At 41.3% G+C, this 19,931-nt stretch overlaps 1 protein-coding gene across 37 annotated transcripts in view, besides 1 other annotated feature; it reads right to left on the reverse strand.

Moving 5' to 3' along the window:
- The window catches only part of ESRRG (estrogen related receptor gamma), a 634,457-nt gene that overhangs the window by 533,471 nt on the left and 81,055 nt on the right, over positions 1-19,931 (reverse strand). The window lies entirely within an intron of this gene.
- Positions 11,651-11,945: an enhancer, noted in NCBI's record as "tiled region #1545; HepG2 Activating non-DNase unmatched - State 13:Ctcf". NCBI's record gives its function as "activates a minimal TATA promoter and a strong SV40 promoter by Sharpr-MPRA in HepG2 cells {active_cell/tissue: HepG2}" and the evidence as "EXISTENCE:reporter gene assay evidence [ECO:0000049][PMID:27701403]".

The raw sequence follows: 19,931 nt of genomic DNA on the forward strand, positions 1-19,931 counted from the left end.
AGACTTAATACCTGGGTGATGAAACAATTTGTACAACAAACCTCCATGACACAATTTTACCTATGTAACAAACTTGTACTTGTACCCCTGAACTTAAAAGTAAAAAAAAAGAAAAGAAAGAAAAGAAAAAAAAAAGAGTATAGGCGATGGAAACCAGCCAATCAGTCAGCAGCGTGACACTTCCCTCAAGCTGGTACTGACCTCATTCCTTTTTAGCTCTCCTCAGTCATGCCCGAGTTGGGAGATGACCACTAGAGAAGAATCTCTCTTCCCAGGCCAGAGGAATCACTTCCAAGCTGCTTCCTGTGGACCACAAGGCTGAGTTTGTTCTGCACAAATGGTAAAGGACTGACAAGTGTCTCAGGGAGCCTGATCCTGCTCCCTGATAACAAATATTCAGTTTTCCTTTTTACCCCTGATCTGAGATTCCTCTCTAATACCAAGATAAGGTAGATATTTATCCCTTCCCTCCTTTGTTTAAGAGAAGACTATTTGCACTACTCCAAATGTTTCATATTTTTTCTTATTTCACTGTATTAGTCTGTTTTTATGCTGCTGATGAAAGACATACTGGAAACTGGGCAATTTATAAAACAAAGAGGTTTATGGACTTACAGTTCCACATGGCAGGGGAGGTTTCACAATTATGGTGGAGGGCAAGGAGGAGCAAGTCACATCTTACGTGGATGGCAGCAAAGAAAGAGCTTGTGCAGAGAAACTCTCATTTTCAAAACCATCAGATCACATGAGACCCACTCGCCGTCAGAAGAACAGCACGGGAAAGACCCAAACCCATGATTCAATCATCTCCTACTGAGTCCCTCTCACATGGGAACCATGGGAGCCACAAGATGAGATTTGGGTGGGGACACAGCCAAGTCACATTATTCCACCCCAGCCCCTCCCAAATCTCCTATCTTCACATTTCAAAACCAATCACGCCATCCCAATGGTCCCCCAAAGTCTCAACTCATTTCAGCATTAACTCAAAAGTCCACAGTCCAAAGTCTTATCTGAGACAAAGCAAGTCCCTTCCACCAAGAGCCTGTAAAATCAAAAACAAATTAGTTACTTCCTAGATACAATAGGGGTACAGGCATTGGGTAAATACAGCCATTCCAAATGGGAGAAATTGGCCAAAACGAAGGAGCAACAGGCCCCATGCAAGTCCGAAATCCAGTGGGGCAGTCAAATCTTAAAGCTCCAAAATGATCTCCTTTGACTCCCTGTCTCACATCCAGGTCATGCTGATGCAAAAGGGGGGTTCTCATAGTCTTGGGCAGCTCTGCCCCTATGGCTTTGCAGGGTACAGCCTCCCTCCAGGCTGCTTTCACAGGCTGGCATTGAGTGTCTCTGGCTTTTCCAGGTGCAAGGTACAAGCTGTTGGTGTATCCACTATTCTGAGGCCTGGAGGATGGTGGCCCTCTTCTCACCGCTCCACTAGGCAGTGCCCCAGAAGGGACTCTGTGTGGGGCCTCCAATCCCACATTTTCCTTTGTCATTGCCCTAGCAGAGGTTCTCCGTGAGGGCCCTGCCCCTGCAGCAAACTTCTGCCTGGGCATCCAGGTGTTTCCATACCTCCTATGAAATCTAGGGGGAGGTTCTCAAACCTCAATTCTTGACTTTTGTGCACCCACAGTCTCAACACCATTAGCTCCTTACAGTTAAACTGTGACTCTATCTTGAATTCCATGATCACTCTATCCCAGGATAGATGGATTGTGAAATGACAGTGATATGGTTTGGCTCTGTGTCCCCACCCAAATCTCATCTCAAATTGTAATCCTCATGGAACCTGCCAAGGTTTGGGGTTTCCACCCTTTGAAGCAACAGCCCAAGCTGTACCTTGGTCCCTTTTAGCCAGGGCTGGAGCAGCTGGAACACAGGGTACCAAGTCCCTAGGCTGCATAGAGCAGGGGGTTCCCTAGGCTCAGGCCAGGAAGCCATCTTTTCTTTCCAGGACTCTGGACCTGTGATGGGAGGGGCTGCCATGAAGACCTCTGACCTGCACTGGAGACATTTTCCCCATTGTCCTGGGGATTAACATTCAGTTCCTTGTTACTTATGCAAATTTCTACAGCTGGCTTAAGTTTCTCCCCCAGAAAATGGGATTTTCCTTTCTATCACATTGTCAGGCTGCAAATTTTCTGAACTTTTATCCTCCATTTCCCTTTTAAAACCGAATGCCTTTAACAGCAAGTAAGTCACCTCTTGAATGCTTTGCTGCTTAGAAATGTCTTCTGCCAAATATCCTAAATGATCTCTCTCAAGTTCAAAGTTCCACAAATCTCTAGGGCAGGGACAAAATGTTGCCAGTCTCTTTGCTAAAACAGAAAAAGAGTCACGTTTGCTCCAGTTCGCATTGAGTTCCTCATTTCCATCTGAGACCACCTCAGCCTGGACCTTATTGTTGATATCACCATCAGCATTTTTGTCAAAACCATTCAACAAGTCTCCAGGAAGTTCCAAACTTTCCCACATTTTCCTGTCTTCCTCTGAGCCCTCCAAACTGTTCCAACCTCTGTGTGTTACCCAGTTCCAAAGTCTCTTCCACATTTTCAGGTATATTTTCAGCAACACCCCACTCCTGGTACCATTTTACTGTATTAGTGCGTTTTCATGCTGCTGATAAATATGTACCCGAGACTGGGCAATTTACAAAACAAAGAGGTTTATTAGACTTACAGTTCCACATGTAAGTGTGGAGGCCTCACAATCATGGCATAAGGCAAGGAGGAGCAAGTCACATCTTATGTGGATGGCAGCAGGCAAAGAAAGAGCTTGTGCAGAGAAACTCCCATTTTCAAAACCATCAGCTCTCGTGAGACCCACTCACTATCACAAGAACAGCAAGGGAAAGACCTGCCCCCATGATTCAGTCATCTCCCACTAGCTCCTTCCCATAATATGTGGGAACCATGGGAGCCACAAGATAAGATTTGGGTGAGTACGCAGGGCCAAACCACTTCATTCACTAAATCCATTATAAGTTTCCTTTAAAGCACTTAAATTAAGGCTTTACCCTACCAATTATTTGTATTTGTTTTTACAACCTTTTGATATGTTTTCAAATTGTTTGTATCTCATTATGTTCTGTTCATCCTCCTACAATTTGAAGACTGGCTTTTGTTTTTTCCACCCCATCCCAGTGCTTCCCAAATTGTAGTATTCTATACACAGTCACAAAGTAATCAACATAACTGCATCCACTCTGTCTTAAGGTTTGTAGGTTAGGCTCCATGGAAACATATGGAAATAAAGATAAACACCCCTCTCCTACACACACATGAACACACACCACACACAAGAGCAGGGTGAGAATGAGACAGAGAGTGTGTGTAAGGTGAGGAATGGCAACAATGGCTAAATTATTTTAACGCAGTGATATCTCACACAACATCCCTAATTGCCCTCATGTTCTTAAATCTTCTGGTTCATAAGAACTATGTTGCTATACATTTTTTTGAAATTTCAGGCTGGTGGTTGCAAAATGGGTTATTTAGACGGTAAGAAAATAGGTATTTGGACTGGTCATGGAAGAAAAAAGTCACTAGGCTGGTGAGTTCAAATTCTGTCTCTTCTGTGGCTTTGCTGAGAAAGTTAAGGAAGTCATTGCCTTGTCTCCCTGTCTACAGTCCAATGAAGAAGGCAATTAAGAGGATGCCTTGAACCCAGCCTCCACAGAGAGAAAAATATCCCCCTTTTTTTCTACATCACCTGCCCTTGGACTAGAATTTCATAATTCTCTTCAAACTATTCATTTTGTTACTTCAGGATATAGTAAGTAAAGCTATTGCTTTAGTTAAGCTTTTTCAGCAATAAGTTAGCAATCAAAAACTTTTTTTATGCTGATGACTGTTTTAGTTTTGAAATATTTCAAGATTTTTCTATTAAAATTTTTTTCCTATCCTGTGAAATATCTTCACATTGCTAGTACACCTTTACACTTCCAAAAATCCTGTGAGCTTATTTGTTTTGATTATGAGAAAACTGAATTAAGGAGGTTCAGTAATTTGCCCAATAACACACTATTAGCAAAAATTTGGGTTGAGACTCAAACCAAACCAATTTGTCTCCAAATCCTACTCTTTGTACTTATGCTAGCTGCACAGTGGACCTCAGTAGATACTATTTGGCCTACTACTCCACTCAACACAGATGGAGGGCCAGAAATTTCCTGGACCTAAAGGAAATACATACCAGATCAATTACATCAACACAGGGAATTCTGAGTTTGATTTGCAGTTTCTGGCAATATATCCCATTGCCCTATAATATATTCAGTTACTCCTTTTTTACATTGGGAACCCTCAACAGCTCAGATAATCTTTTACATTTAGTTCAGTTCCTTTCCTGCTCCCCAATCTTAGTTTAAAATTCTCCACAGAGTGGGTGTAGAGAATTTTAAACTAAGCATGAAAAAATATTCTCATCTTTTTCATAAAAAAACACGAAATCACAGAGACCCAGGGATCTCTAGCTAAGAGGCCCCATAGTCAGAAACACTGTAAAAAGATCATAGCTGACACCACAGTTGGTGAAAATAACAGCCTGCAAGCTGTGCCAAAAGCCCTTTTTCCTCATCTAATCCCCTATCATTCTTCTGATACAAGACAGCAAATGCATTAAATCCTTTAAACATTCATAGCAAGTTGGTATAAAGGTAGTACATTTTAAGAGTTGAAAGAATGTCTATAAACACACTCACACACATATGTATATATCCATCCACAAATAATACTACATAGTTTTTTAAAAAAAATAGGTTCAGTAGAGACTTAAAATAGTCATTTAATCTAATTGATGCCATGTATGACAGTAAAGAAGCTAGCTATGCCCAAGTTAGATTTAAGGAGTACATTTTCCATCTTTTGCTTCTCTGGAAAAATCAGTCACCACAACAAGCCCAGTATATATGGTTTTTGTTTATTGTTTCCTCCCTGGAACATTAAAGTGGTCTTGGATATCAGAGAGTAAACAGGCATCTGACTGTCACCCTACCAGCTGGCAGATTCAAGTGTCACAGCTAAAGCCCACACCTGCTTAGTTTCCTACAGAATCATCACTTTAATTAGAATTAGATATTGGTCTGTGAGTATGTGTTCTAATTTTATTTTTTATTTTAAATCTTGCTTTGGCATGCAATATCTTTTTAGATTCTTTGAAGGGAATAAGTATGCTTATCCCAAGAAACCAGTAGGGTTATATTCAAAGCAATGCACCCAGTAGGTTCACATCATTCTGGCATGTATCATCTGAAACCCATGAGTACCATGTGAGGGCTCTGTCATTTGGCTGTGCTGCTGTCATCTTTTGATGGTCCCTGATAGCATTCCATTTCAGTTTGAAAGAACCCATCACTCTAATAGGTGGGCTTGCTCTAACCATAGATACGTATTTCTGCTTTGATAAAATGTAGAATTATTTATATTATGGATAGCTCTATTTGTTTTTCTTGAATCACTCAGCTATACAGTATGCTGAATGACATATAAATATAGAAATTATGGAAATAGAGAAAGCATTTTATCCAATGCAGATCCTGAGTTGCTAAAAATGAGTCACTAAAATTTCCCACTAGGGTGGCATTTCAAATCTAACCTTGTCCCAAATAACAACTGACCACCAATTTCTTTGATTCCCAAGAATGGAGAGCACTGCAGTGTGACTCAGGCACAGAGTGTTGGCTGTTTCAGCTTGAAGCACTCACCTAGGAGGAAAGTAAAGGAAAAAATGCACACACACATACACACACAAACACACACACACACACACACACACACACACACACACACACACTGCATGTGCTCTGACATCCTGCAGCAGTAAGAGAACACACAGAGGAATTCCGCTACCTGTCCCTAGCTCCCCACACTCCCCCCTGCCCTTGCCCCACAGGCCCATTCTAAACGTGCAAACAGTATCGGTATAAGTGTTTGTAAACAAGGAACTTTGAAGATGTTTCTAATTCTAATTATAAACAGTCCGAGCTAAAATTAGAAACCCAATCTGTTCACTTTAAAAAAAAAAATTAAAAAGCTCTCCAAAAGGGTCTATTTAAATAAAGCAGCCAGTAAGCTCTGATTTGGCAAGGAGTGGTGAACTCTGGTGACACAGCCAGGGAACTGCTAATTGTCAGCATTTCCACTGTGCCATGAGGTATGCTTCCTAGTTCCTAGTGAAGAAAGCCATGATTCTCATCCATTGTCATAGTATGATACTGTCTTCTCTGGGACAGGACATTAATGACACCTCTTTACTCGGTGGCCTGATATCTCCCTTTATAACCTCAAACATGTTAAAATGCATTCTCATAAATTCCTATTTTTCCTTTTGCTTCCAGCTCCAGTGCAAATTTAACGCCAAACATTAAGCATTACTTGGCATTCACAAACACACACACAAAGACTTAATAATAACCTCTGTATAGATGCTCAAGTCTTGACATCCATCAAGAAACTCAGCAAAGAAGACAAACTTCATACATCTGTAGGGCTATCACACCACATTCCAATCCTAGACCCAGCAAAGTAAGCTGCCCTCACCAACTGCAGCTAAATTGGGCCTCAAAGATGCTTTCCATAAATGGAAAGAAGGAAGCTGGGTTCAGTTACAAAGAGGAAGCTTTTCTCTCCCATTTACACAAACAATATAAAATTGCCAGACTCAACCTGAAAAGTTTGTGTCATTTTCAAAGCCTATCAATAATAAATGAATAGTGCACAACTTATCTCTAATTAACCAAAATTCTCAGTTATATTTCCTAAAATGAAACACGTCATTGTTGGCCCTTTTTGGTCTTACAATACCATTCCTTAGTACTTTCATTAAAGAGCCATCATCTTAACCAGAATTTTAAATTTAGCTACTTTTGTACTTATTTTCATTGCTCTTACATTGAGCCAACTTCTCAGGATAAGAGGCAAAGAATAATGGGGATTTTTTTGCACCCCAATCCTGGCTCTTAAAAACATATATAAACAACAATTTGAGTCATATTACTAAAAAAAAGTGTTAATGTTCTTTATATAGATTGTGCCCATACAGGAACAAGTCAAAAACTAAGAACTCAAAATAGAGAGCTAAATGTCAGTTATCTGGGATTACAGAAAATATAGATAATGGTCCCTCCTTAATACTAACTCACTACATATTAGCAACAGCTTCAGTCTCATCCCTTCCCTAATACCACTACCCAGAGCTCTGAAGAAAAGAAAAAAAAAACTGCCAGATTTTAACTTTACCTTTCTCCAATTTTTAGAAAAGAAACCGATAGGAATAATATAGCCAAAGGCAAATAAAAATAGAAAAAAAAAGTGTGGATCATTTTACTATTGTACCCTCAATCTCAAGACCCAGTCAATTATTGAATAAGGCAATAATTGGCTTTCAAGTTTACTGAAGTAGGTAGCAGACTTTGAAATGCAGAAGCTCAAGGCACGTCTTCTTCCTCCATAGGATGTACAATAGATCATTCTGACATTCTGTCCACTGACCACCCTCCCTTTTGGCTACATGGAAGTCCTTGCCCAGATTGGCCTCTGTGACTAGCCACTGCACATTAGCCTCCCTAATACCTTGGGCTCTCCTGCCTCCCTAATTTTCTCAACCATGGGGACCCTCCTGCCATCTGTACACACTCACTGTGTTCATTAACTACAGGGCTGTACTAAAAAGATTCATGTAATGACAATTGTATCCCATTGCAAGTTTCTTCTATATTAAATTAAATTAATGTGACCCATTCCTGGAAATCTTTAATTCATCTCTTGTTGGTTCCTAACGTAATTCACATACTAACTATTCCAAACCTAATCTGTACACCTTCACTCCCTATGCTGACCTCCATCTCAGCTTACCAGTGAGACTAAAGGGCAATTGCAGCTCCAGATAACTTAGAAAGAGGGACACAATCATTGACTATAAATGACACATAAAGTCTGAGTCCATTTTCATATTTTCTGACTGGCACTTTTTAAGAAAAAAACCAGCTCTGCAGGAAAATGGACTTCCTGCCGAAAGCTTCAGCAAAAACAGCCACCAGAATAATTCACTGGCACTTGGTTATTAAAATCCCTGACAGGTATTACTTAAGATGTTAGAAAATTATTCAGGCACACGTGTACACATATATCTACCTTCTATGCTTGTGCACTCACACACAGACACACACAAACACACTCACATTTTTAGTAAGTACTCATTAAGCTATCTGAGATATTAAAACTAATCACGGCAGTTTTCCTTTAATGTTATCCTCAGCATAAAGAGAAATGAGCCCATTGTCATTTATTTTAAAATCATTCTTTATAAAAAATAGCTAATCTCCAGAAGCACACCTGGTTTATTGAAGTGAATACAAAGATGCAGCATATAGCCTTAATGTGCTCAGCTGGGGAAATATATTTTTTTAAATGAGCATTTGTTAGGGCTTTATTTGCAAATGCAAAACTATCCAAGGCACTCTTTGTGCATGTAGAGATTTGTCATTTCAAAAACCACATTAATATAGGAGGATTCTCATCAACCCCTAAAAGCAGCAAAAAAAAATTAACCCTTGCGGGATTGTAAACGACAAAAACCCCATAAGACCAGGTCAAAGGAAGTTCAGGAACCAGGAAACCATTGACACAACCCAGAAGTGAATCCAAGAGAAACTTCTAACATAACAGTCTCCCCACAAAATCTCCAGACTCATATATTCAAAGTGAAAGGATCTGCAGAGTTGACTCGGGTATTAAAAGTGGGAGAAAAGGGGGGACCTGCTAGAGTAAACCCATTAACTACCCTTGGGACCTCCCAAAGGAAAATGATGAGAAGTCTCGAGCTTTCCCTGATCTCCTGAGATGGCTGGTCTTTGTGAGGAGGCACGAGGTTGCCCCAGTTTCCAAGGATGGGATATTGGAAGGTTTGCACAGCAAGGCCATGTGGGATAGCACGTGTGGCTCTTGGCCATGTTAACCGGGCTTTTCCTAGATACGACGGCAGTTGTCGTTTTTTTTTCATTTGATCAGGGAATGTAATACATCTTCAAAACAATTTTCACCCAACCGGTCAGAGATGTTAAAATCCAACCCTGAAAGCCTCCCTTGGGCGCTTTCCCTCAGAGGCACACTGTCCTTTGCTGCTATGTTTCTTTTGAAATATGTAATTTTCACAAAAAAATCTTTGGAGTGTTTGCTTCTTTAGGATTTTTTAAGTATTTAAAAATAAAATCAAAGTATATAGTTAGTATAGATTGAGATGCCTTTCCATTTGGGAGCAGAAGAAAATAATAATTCTGCTAAATGACAAGAGGAACACAATAAGAGCAAGTAGGTTGGCATTTCCAGTGCTAAAAAACATAATGTCCGTGCAGCTCACTGTGACCCAAAAGAGTTAAGGCATGTCGCCAATAAAAGGAATTATGTCAGGAACCACTGAGAGCCTAAGCTGCACATTCCTTTCAAAAAAAAAAAAACCTAAAATTAGTGCTAACTTTTTCTACTTATACCCCTGATGGATACTAGCATAATACCAGGAGATACTTCCTAACTTTTAATTTTATATCCCTATAGCACCTAGCACAGTATCTTATACAAAAGAGATGATCAAGAAATAGGTGTTGGATTGACCAAATGAATCCACCTGCTAGCACTGCATCAAGAAAGACATGTTAGCCAAGTACACCTAAATTAGTTTACTGACTCTTTAGCCTAAAACCCTTTGATGGCTTTCCATTACCCACCTTCAGATAACATTCAAGAATCTTCTAATTATTTAGCTCCTACCTACATTTATAGCTTCATCTCTCATCAAGAATTTTGCAAGTATTTGGGGCATAAAGTAATAATAAAGTTGATTTTTGAGAGGAAAATCTTAAGAATCACACAGAATGGGATAAGAATGGAGATATGGTGGCTCAGGCCTGTAATCCCAACACTTCAGGAGGCCAGTGCAGGAGGATCTCTTGAGTCCAGGAGTTCGAGACCAGCCTGGGCAACATAGTGAGACCCCATCTCTACAAATGATCAAAAATTAGCCAGGTGTGGTGGTATGCACCTGTAGTCCCAACTACTCAGGAGGCTGAGGCGGGAGAATTGCTTATGCCAAGGAATTTTAGGCTGCAATGAGCCATAATTATGCCACAGGCACTCAGCTTGAGCAACAGTGGTGAGATCCTGTCTCATAAAAAAAAAGGGGGGGGAATGGAAGATATGCAACATCATTGGAAAGAGACAAAATTATTCCTTAGTTGGTAAGATTTGTTGTAAGCTGATTGAATATATTAACATATGTAAGTGAAGGATGTGTTACTCAAAAAGGGAGGCAGCATGATCAGCCATGGGATATGCCATGGGAGAAGGAGTACTAATCAATATACTTACATAACATCTGGTCTCGATGGTAAGCCTGTGCCTACCATGAAGTGGTTGTATCAAACTACTTATCATTTGAATAATCTAGTTACCATCTTCTAATTTAATACCCATCTACCAACTTTATGATTATAATGTGATTTCCTAAAGAAGTATCGTTTTTGAGCCATAAATCTGTATATCCTACTGATTACTAAATATGTCCACTTGGATGTCTCATAGGAACCTCAAATTTGGCATGTCCAAAACTGGGCTAATCCTCCCAACCAATTCTTTTTCCAGTGTTTTGCATCTTGGTAAATGGCACTGTCATCCATCCATGAAACCCAGAAACCTCGGACTCTCACATTCAGTCAATTCACCTCATCTAATTAAGCACCAAATACTGTCAATCCCACCTTCTAGATATTTTTCTAATCCATTAATTTCCCTCCATCCCCATTGTCATCACTCAAGTCCAAGCTACGAATATCTTTCTGAGGAGACCTTGTTTCTATTTTTAGTAGGGAGAATATTTTGGAAATAATAAATAGATACATTAAATCATATTCTGTTGCACCTATCCATTTTCACAGCTAGGCCATGATGATCATTGTTCCAATGGGGGAAGCAGATGGGAATGACCAAGAAGAAAGAAGAAATTTTTCAGCTTTGAGTCTCAAAGCTGACTTGCTTGATCTCTGTAGCTAGACAGAAGCCTCAAAAGCCAGGCTTTGTACAAAGAGAGAAAAGGAATTCTAAATCCCATAGTTAAGTGCTTTGGCTTTTATACCAGATTGTGTGTTTGACTATAGGCCAAGGGAGAGAGAATATGCAATGGAACTAGAGAAAAGAAGTAGCCCACATTTCCAGACCACGGTATCGGGGAAGAAGAAGAAGATGGACAGAGGTAGCTGTAGCAGACCAAGAAATATGTGTAGTAGCTCACTTCTCTGAAGTGCTGGATCAGGTGGGCATCTAAAGAGTCTTTCTCTCCTTCCTATTTGAGTCTGTCTTTCAGGGTCCTCCCTAACTAGAGGAGCCCAGAGTAGAGGTGAAGGGAAACACAAGTTAGCAGAGAGTAAGTGTAAGGGTAGCTTCCCAGTTGTCTCTTTGGCTTCAAGGTAGTACAGCAGGATCTAGGAGGTCCTGTGTGCTCAGTGGAGGGACAAGGGCAGTCGCTGACGGTACTGGTTAGAGAGGCCACAGAGGGCTTGGGCTGGGAGGTGGAGAGTAGAGGGTATTCTGTTGGATTCCAGATGGAACACGGAGTCAGACTTCAGACAGCCATGATGCAATAGTGTCAGAGAGAGCTCAGGTGCAACGAGGCAGCAGAGGGGACTGCCAGGCCCCAATCTAGCTGAAATAGAACAGACATTGAGTTCAGCAGCTACAGAGTTCAACTGCAAATGGAGGCAGGGCTGCATGACCAGGCCAACAACGAGGGTGCTATTCCTGCAGAGGGCAGCAGTGAGGACCCAGAAGTCACTCAAACACTCCTATGCAGAAACCAGGCCCCCTTCCACCAATGCCACAGGCACAAGAAGCTCTTGCATCCCAACTGGGTAGATAACTCTTGACTCAGAAGTTCCCTGAAATGAGCCATTTTAAAGGAAAGGAGACTAAATGTATCTGGAGAGACTAGGATATGATGTATTTCCCTGTTACCCACTGGAGTCAGAACTTACGAGGAAAATCAGAGTAGCCAGAGAAAATGAAGACTTCAACATTTTCTTTACATGTCTGAGCATAGTGTGAGTAAATTTTCAACTCTGCAACATACCCTGGCCCCACTCTATCTGCTCTCAACTTGTAGCCACAGTGGGTTTTGAAAATGAACATTGAATTATACAGTACAGGTTGTGAAAACCCTTCCCATGTCTTCCTTTGCCCATTGGATAGTGATCAAAATCCTCACTGTGGCTAACAAGCCCTTCATAATCAGGCACTCCTTTCCTCTCCATGACCACCTCCTGCCTTGCCTAGCTCCTCTGTCACTCCAGGGCCCTGGTCATCATGGTCTCCTCAGTTTCTTGAGCTAACATTCTCTCAACACAAAATGCTATCTCCAAAGCTCCTCCCTCACTCCAAATTCTATTCATCATTCAGGTTGGAACTCAGCTATTTCTTTCTTAGATAAGCCTTTCCTGACCAGGATTTTCATCTCTGAAAAATTCTTGGTTATGCAAACTAATTTTCTGAGTGTAGGAATTCTCAGAGCCTTTACTATGCTACTGTGAATCTCCAAGAAGGAGAATGAAGCCGGCACAGTCTCCTAAACCTATTTGCCTGGGGTACAATTTTCTCCATCTCACTGAATTGCTATCTGCAAGAAATCATTTGGTAATTGCTGACTTATGAGATTCACAGGACCAAGAATCATGTCTCTTTGAAGACCAAAGCATAACTAAAAGTAGTAAAGCTTCTTGGAAAAGAGAAGATATACTATGCCTATCAAGGGGAGAAACTGTTGAATTTGTTTTGAGAAGGTGCTAAGGCAGTCATATAGCAGAGAAGAGAAGAAAAAAGAATAACTTGTGTGTCCATTGGTACTGTCAAGAAGATCTAGAGGTGAGTGTAGGAACTTGCCCTGTGTAGGGCACTCATGATCTCTCCACTGGGCAAGGTCCTCCACCCAATTCCTTGGCCCATGGTTGCGGCCTGAGCTCCAAGCACCACAGGCTGCATTAGAATTGGTTCCAATCCAGGGAGATCAGCCAGTGTCATTCGTGAGAAGTCAACAGCAGCTTTTCTGGCAGCCAGAAGAAAGAGGCCACAAGAAAAGAAAGTGATCCAGAATGGGGCAGAAAGTGAAGTGAAAGCAGCTGGTCTTCTCTGCTCCCATTTGGGAAGACTGGATGGAAAGGGCTTAGCTCTGAGACACAGATGCCATCATTCTGCATAAGCAAAATAAGTACATCTATGAACAAGAGCAGAAGTATGAGAACACTTCACAACAGAAGATTTATGGCATTATCCACAAGGAGCAAACGTCACTGTAAGTCAGATGTGTTTGAATCCCATTCAAGGGAATTTAATAACTGAGATGTCAAAGAACCTTATTAGAAGGCAATCTTACCTATGTGATCCTCTGACCTGGACCTCAAGGATCATCTACAGTGATGTGCCAAGATATTTGAGCTGGGGGGGTGAAAAAGAACTTCTGGCAACACAGCTTAATGAATGGATTCTTTGGCCCAGAGAAGTTGCTGAAGTAGTAAAATGAGACGCAGTCCAACAAAAATTAGGTTACACATGAGAAAGATCTTGATAAAATATAGCCCTTCTCCAGAAAAACTACATTATTTTCTATTAGATGGGATAGACCACATAACCTGTGCAGCTTTATCATCTGAGGTCTTAGGTCATTTGGGGACAACTGAAGTTTGAACAAGAGGAGCCAGGCATTCTGCACGTGAGTGAAGACTTACCTGGAGGTTATTGGTGGAGAAGCCAAGCCTCTCCTCCTGTTCATAAGAAACTACACAGAGAGGCAGGTGACTGGGGATCAATTGACAAAATGGCAATCTCCAATAGCCAATACTCTCAGAATGATGTTATGATTGACAGAGCAAAATTTCCAGGGTAGAATGAGAAAGCTCGGGCCATCCTCTACCCAAACCGAGATGTGGACCACATCTCTGTTCTCTTAGCCACTGCCTTTTCCTCAATGTTTTTGTTTACAAATGGTCACAGCAGATAGACTCTCACCAAAATAAATGAATCACAAAGCTAATAGTAAGTCTGGGGACAGTCATAGCCCAGCTCACTGTGTTACCTGGGCTTGAATGTCAGTACGGGCTATTAGAAGACCTTTCTAGGGCTCCAAATGATAAAAATAGTGCTGTTTTAGATGACTGCTCTGGTCAAGGAACATTGCTTTGGCCATTCAGGTTAGAAATAGCCAGGTGTGGGAAGGACTCAGTGAACAGAACAGACTCCAAGGTGGAAAGAGGAATCTTTTTTAAGGCATGCACATAGACTGACAAAGGGAAAAAAGAAATCGGGAAGAAAGGTTTTGTGAAAGACTTTTTTCCTTCTTATTTCATATCCAGGATCTAAGGCCTAGTACTGGCCAGAAGGCTGAAGTCAGCAGTTACGTGTCCTCAGGTGGTTCTGAGATAAGAGCAGAAGGAGTGGATAATGGGGGCGGGGGGGGGGGGTGCCAGGGGAATTGTAAGACTGGGTCATTCTTGGCTTGAACCTAAGAGGGTTTCCCTTTAGGTATTATCCTGAAGAAAGCTCCAGGCAACCTTAGGCTGATTCTTCACTTGTCACTTCTAAAAGGTGAATCAGTTAACGCTTACAATGACTGACTCTGTCCTACTGTTCAGGTTCACACGCACCTTCTAATTATAAGAAACAGGCTTCTTGGGCTTCTCCAGGCAAAAACTGAGAGGAAGCCAACATTATTTTTGCTGTTACTGCAACATCCAAATAACTTTGCATCTGCTGGAGCCTCCAATTAAAAGGGCAATGATGATGAGTCAATGCACCCCACTGGCATGGGCCATCCTTTACTTATGTTTCAGAAACAATCACTGCTCCATTTTCTGTATTAAGAGGTGAGAGAGAAATGAGCCATATGGAATAGGAGTTGGCCCGAGAGACAAGATACCTGGGTTATGGCCTGACCATGCTTTTAAACAGATGAATGGCCATATGCAAAACAACTTATCCCATCTGGAGTCCTATTCTGCCCTCCCATCCCCATACTCCTTTTTTTAAAGACAGGGTCTCACTTTGTTGGCCTGGCTGGAGTGCAGTAGCACAATCATAGCTCACTGCAGCCTCTAACTCCTGGGCTCAAGCAATCCTCCCCCCTCAGCCTCCTGAGTAGTTGGAAACCACAGGCTCACACCACCACACCCAGATAATTATTTATTTATTTATTTATTTTAGAGACAGGGTCTTGCTATGTTCCCCAGGCTGACCTCAAACTCCTGGGCTCAAGCAATCCTCCCACCTCAGCCTGCTAAGTTGCCCAGATTACAGGCACGAGCCACTACACTCAGCCTATTTCCCATTTATAAAATACAGAAAGGTTCTGTGAAAATAAGAATGGCAAGAGCATAGAAATCACTTTGGATAAAGTACTCGATCAGAATGATTTCAAGATGTAGAGGAAGACATACTAAGAATGCAAAATGGAATTACACCTTGGATTTTTAGACTGAATTTTAAAACTATGAAGAAAGTGTCACTGCAACTTCAGCAGAAGTGCCAGAGAATGAACTGAGATGATTCAAAACAGATCAACTTTAAGATTTGGTGCAGAAAATGATCTCCACATATCCAAAGGCACTTTGGGCAAGCCTGAAGCAGATGCTGGGGCAGGTTTCATAGTGACTAAACGCATCAACATCAAAAGAATCTCCATCTGTAAATCACTCCACGTGAATTATTTGTTACAGCTTGAGTAGTAACCACATATTACATTCAGGTTAGAATGTTACTCTGTCTCACTCCCCATCTTTCTAAAAGGATCTAAGAGAGACCTAGGTGTTCAGAACCAGGAATTTAATAACATCTTTGACAGAATATCCAAGAGTTCTTCAAAAGAACCAAAGGTTTCCCTTGACTTGACTGAACATTGCTAGACTTCCAAAGGGACAACTGCTAGTCAATAACTAAATAAGCATTTTTAGAAGAGGATAGCTTCTACCTTCCTATTGGGGTGAGGGATAATGAGGACTGCAATCTGGCTAATGTTGATCATTAACAACAGCAGGGCATTCCTTAAGTGGTTTCTCCGAGGCAGTCTGGGGCAGCTGGTTAAGAAATCTTGCATCTTCCAGCCAGAGTCCATGGACTAGTCACGCTTGATCACTAAAAGGGCTTTACATATCATGGGAGCTTTGATGAAAATAAATAGACCTCCTAAAGATGGACATGGAGATCCAGAGGTACCTTGCTTTCAACTTCCTTCATTCATTCTTCCTTGGTTATATCAAAATTGCATATCCTTTACCAGGCACAATGTTGTACACCTGTAATCCCAGCTGGGAGGCTGAGGTGGAAGGATTGCTTGAGCCTAGAAGTTTGATACCAGCTGAGGTAACATAGCAAAATCCCATCTTAAAAAAAAAAAAAAAAAAAACAGAAAGAAAAAAAGAAAAGGCTGGGCAGGGTGGCTCATGCCTGTAATCCCAGAACTCTGTGAGGCTGAGGCAGATAGATCACTTAAGGTCAGGAGTTCGAGACCAGCCTGGCCAACATGGTGAAACCCCGTTTCTACTAAAAATACAAAAATTAGCCAGGCATAGTAGTAGGTGCCTGTAATCCCAGCTGCTCAGGGGGCTGAGGCAGGAGAATCGCTTGAACCTAGGAGATAGAGGTTGCAGTGAGCCGAGATTGCGCCACTGCACTCCAGCCTGGGCAACAGAGTGAGATTCTGTCCCAAAGCCAAAAAAAAGAAAGAAAGAAAGAAAGAAAGAAAGAAAGAAATGCCTGCTGTAATGGGGTTGCAAAAACAAAATCTCAAAATGCTGTAGAAAAATTATGTCATTTGTGTTTTAGTCATTAGATGTCCATAGATTATTCAAGAATAAATATTAATACAAAAAATTGCATGTTACCAAAATGAGTTCTTGTGTTCCAAATAATTTGCATGGCATGACAAATAAATTATTGGCCTGGTTTCTAAAATGTGGTAGTTGTTTTGTTTTTTACCCTGATAGTGCAGAAGAAGAGTCCCTTTGTGTTCTTTTGCCAGCCACCAAAGGGCTGGCTATCGTCATGGTTATTATCACCAGACATGGGGGCAACATGGGAAGAAGGGGTTGGCACATTTTTCTAGGAGTAAGGGCATTTGGAAACTCCATGGTGGGTCCCAATGGCACAAAGGCTCTTGTGTATGGTACTACTTTACAAGAAAGTCTCAGCCAATTCCTCAGCAGCTGTGAAGTTGTCAGCCGTGGCGTTCTTTACAAAGCTGGGTGGCTGCTTACTGCTGACATGTTTGGTTTTGAGCTCTGAAAAAAAAAAAAAGCCTCACTGGAATGTTGAGCTAGGCAAAGACAGCAGATGCCCACAATGAAAAAAGCCCATTGTACATCAGGTGCTTAGGAAGTTTCTGGAAACTATTGACAAAACATGGGTATTTTTCTACTAAGTTTGCACTTAGCCATTTCAGTTGTTTTTCATCAAAATCTCTCAACTTCCCCCTCCTGTACTTGACAGCCAGATTAGAGATGATCCAATAGGCTATTGATCATACTTTCTTCTAAAGGTCATACTGGGGGGGAGCATAAATGCTCAAGAAACCACACACTTCTCCAAGTAAGAGGCACATTTTATTTGCCTTCCTATTTAACCTCATATGGGCTTTTATTAATACCAAAACTCAGAAACGTCTTGGAAATGTCCACGTGAGGTTTGGTATAGGGATCATTTTCTGAGATTTTCTCAATTTGAGGGTCGACTCAAAAGAAAGGACAAAATATGTGTGACAATCTTCCTAGATGTTAGTCTAAGCAAAGACTACTTAACAGCATATTTCAGTATCTTCTAATGGAAGAAAAACAGTCTCCCTTCGAGGAGGTTGCAACACCAGTTCCTGGGACTAGATCTTGCCACAACTGTGTCTATTTAGGTTGTAATGACCTGAAAAAACCTAAATGTATGGCTACTGTGGTTATTATACAGGTGCCTGGCAATAAAATACTACGCCTTAGCAAATGAAGAGACATAGGAGGTGAAGAAAGGTCAAAAAAAAAACACAGATGAGAAATCAATGTCAAAAGAGGTCACTTTATGAGCTTCAAAGGAAGCTACGGTCATTGATTATAATATCACTGAAACAACACAGGCCCTGTGAGATCTGAAATTACATTTCCAGTCTGAATTTATAGAACTCACTGCAGACTCTGGTTGTGATTGTAGCACATTAATGGGGGCCTACCAAGTAAGCATGATTTAGATGGGCACAGGCAGAGGTGAATTCAGTTTTTCCTGGGTTTAGATGACTAGGTGTGCGATCAAGAAAAGTTCAGAATAGGTTTCTTCTGCAATTTAAGGGACATTGCTGGTAACAGTTAGGGGCTAGAACAAACTTTCAAAAACACAAATCTAATTATGTCAGTGTCTTGCTTACAAACCACCAATAGCCCTTTTTTTCATGCATGATGAGGTTTAGAATCCTTAGACAATAGGCAAGGCCTTTCTGGTGAGGTGTTGTGCTGAACCCCTATTAACCTCAAAGGGAAAGCATGAGGTTCAAGGGGTAGAAGAAGAGACTCAGAGCCAATAAACAAGATGTGGGGTTTCATTAGGGAATTATAGAGGGGAGAGAGTCCAGTGGTGGCTGGCTGTACAGGAGAACCACCTTATATACAGAAACAGTCCAGTGGCAGTGAGCTGCACAAGATATTCACTTTCCTACAGTCCAGTGGCAGGTTGGGCAGGAAAAAAACTGCAACCACTTGCAAACAGTATGCACTTTATATAACATTTCCACTTAACACCCTCCCCTTAATGCCCTCCACCTGGCAACCTTCATGTACCCCAAAACCAGGGCTTCAACCCCCTGTACAGCCATGGGATAGGCTGGGGCTCAGATGTTCCTCATAGACAAAGAATGAATCTCCAGGTTGGCCACTTCTGGATTCCCTCCTCAGATATGTCTGCCACACAGGGTCATTCTAAGGGTATGCCTAAGTTATTGCTCTCAGGTACATTTACACTACATGAGGCCACCAGAGTCTCCTTTTCAGATCATCTGAGTCTCCAACTATACTAAAATTCTTTCAGTTTTCCACATCCACTGTCCTCTTCCCCACACCCAGATGTCTATACAATTCTTTTCTGGCTGCAATGCCCTCTCTTTTCTAGTAAAATATTCCTTCATTCTTTCCTTGTCCCTTTTCCTTTTCATAGTAGATCCTAGGCTCACCAAACTGTATCTCCTTTTCTCCTTGGGTACACAGCTACACTGCCCTTCCCAGCTTCCCTTGCTGTCAGGTAGGTCTACATGATGGAACTCTGGCCAATGGAACATGGGTGAAAATTATATTTAACATTTCTGGTCCCTAAAATCCTTTTTTGAGATCCTCCATGTTCTCTTTCTCCCAGTGATTCCAATTCTGAGGCCCTTGGGAGTGGCCTTGGGTACCTGAATAACTACTTGGAGCAGAAAAGCCTACTCACCAAACCCTGCAATCCATGTTAGACTGTGGCGTAAGTGAGAAATACTTTAAGACACCAAAAGGATTAGGGTGTTTGTTAGCTAGTCTACTTTGGCCAATACACTCAACCAGATATTATTAATTACATTTTACTTATTGTCTTTGTGGTTATTTTTATAGGTCACCATATATTTATTTCTGGAAGAAGTCTGGGTATAAATAGAAACTCATGTTTATTAAAGGAAAGAATTTATACTAAAACAAATGCAAAAGTATGCAAGACTTTTTCCACTTCTGGGCTGACTGGCTGAGTTGTCTAGAACATGGTGCCATTGATATTGTGTTGAGGGGTCCAGAAGAAAGCCCTTCTGTGGGCCCAGGCTACATTCCTTTCTCCTGAGCTGCTGTTTCTCAGATGTATGCCACCAAACATAAAGGACACAATTTACAATACTATGAGGGTAGGGGG

Source organism: Homo sapiens, chromosome 1 (genome assembly GCF_000001405.40).
Source record: "Homo sapiens chromosome 1, GRCh38.p14 Primary Assembly".
Taxonomy (NCBI): domain Eukaryota; kingdom Metazoa; phylum Chordata; class Mammalia; order Primates; family Hominidae; genus Homo; species Homo sapiens.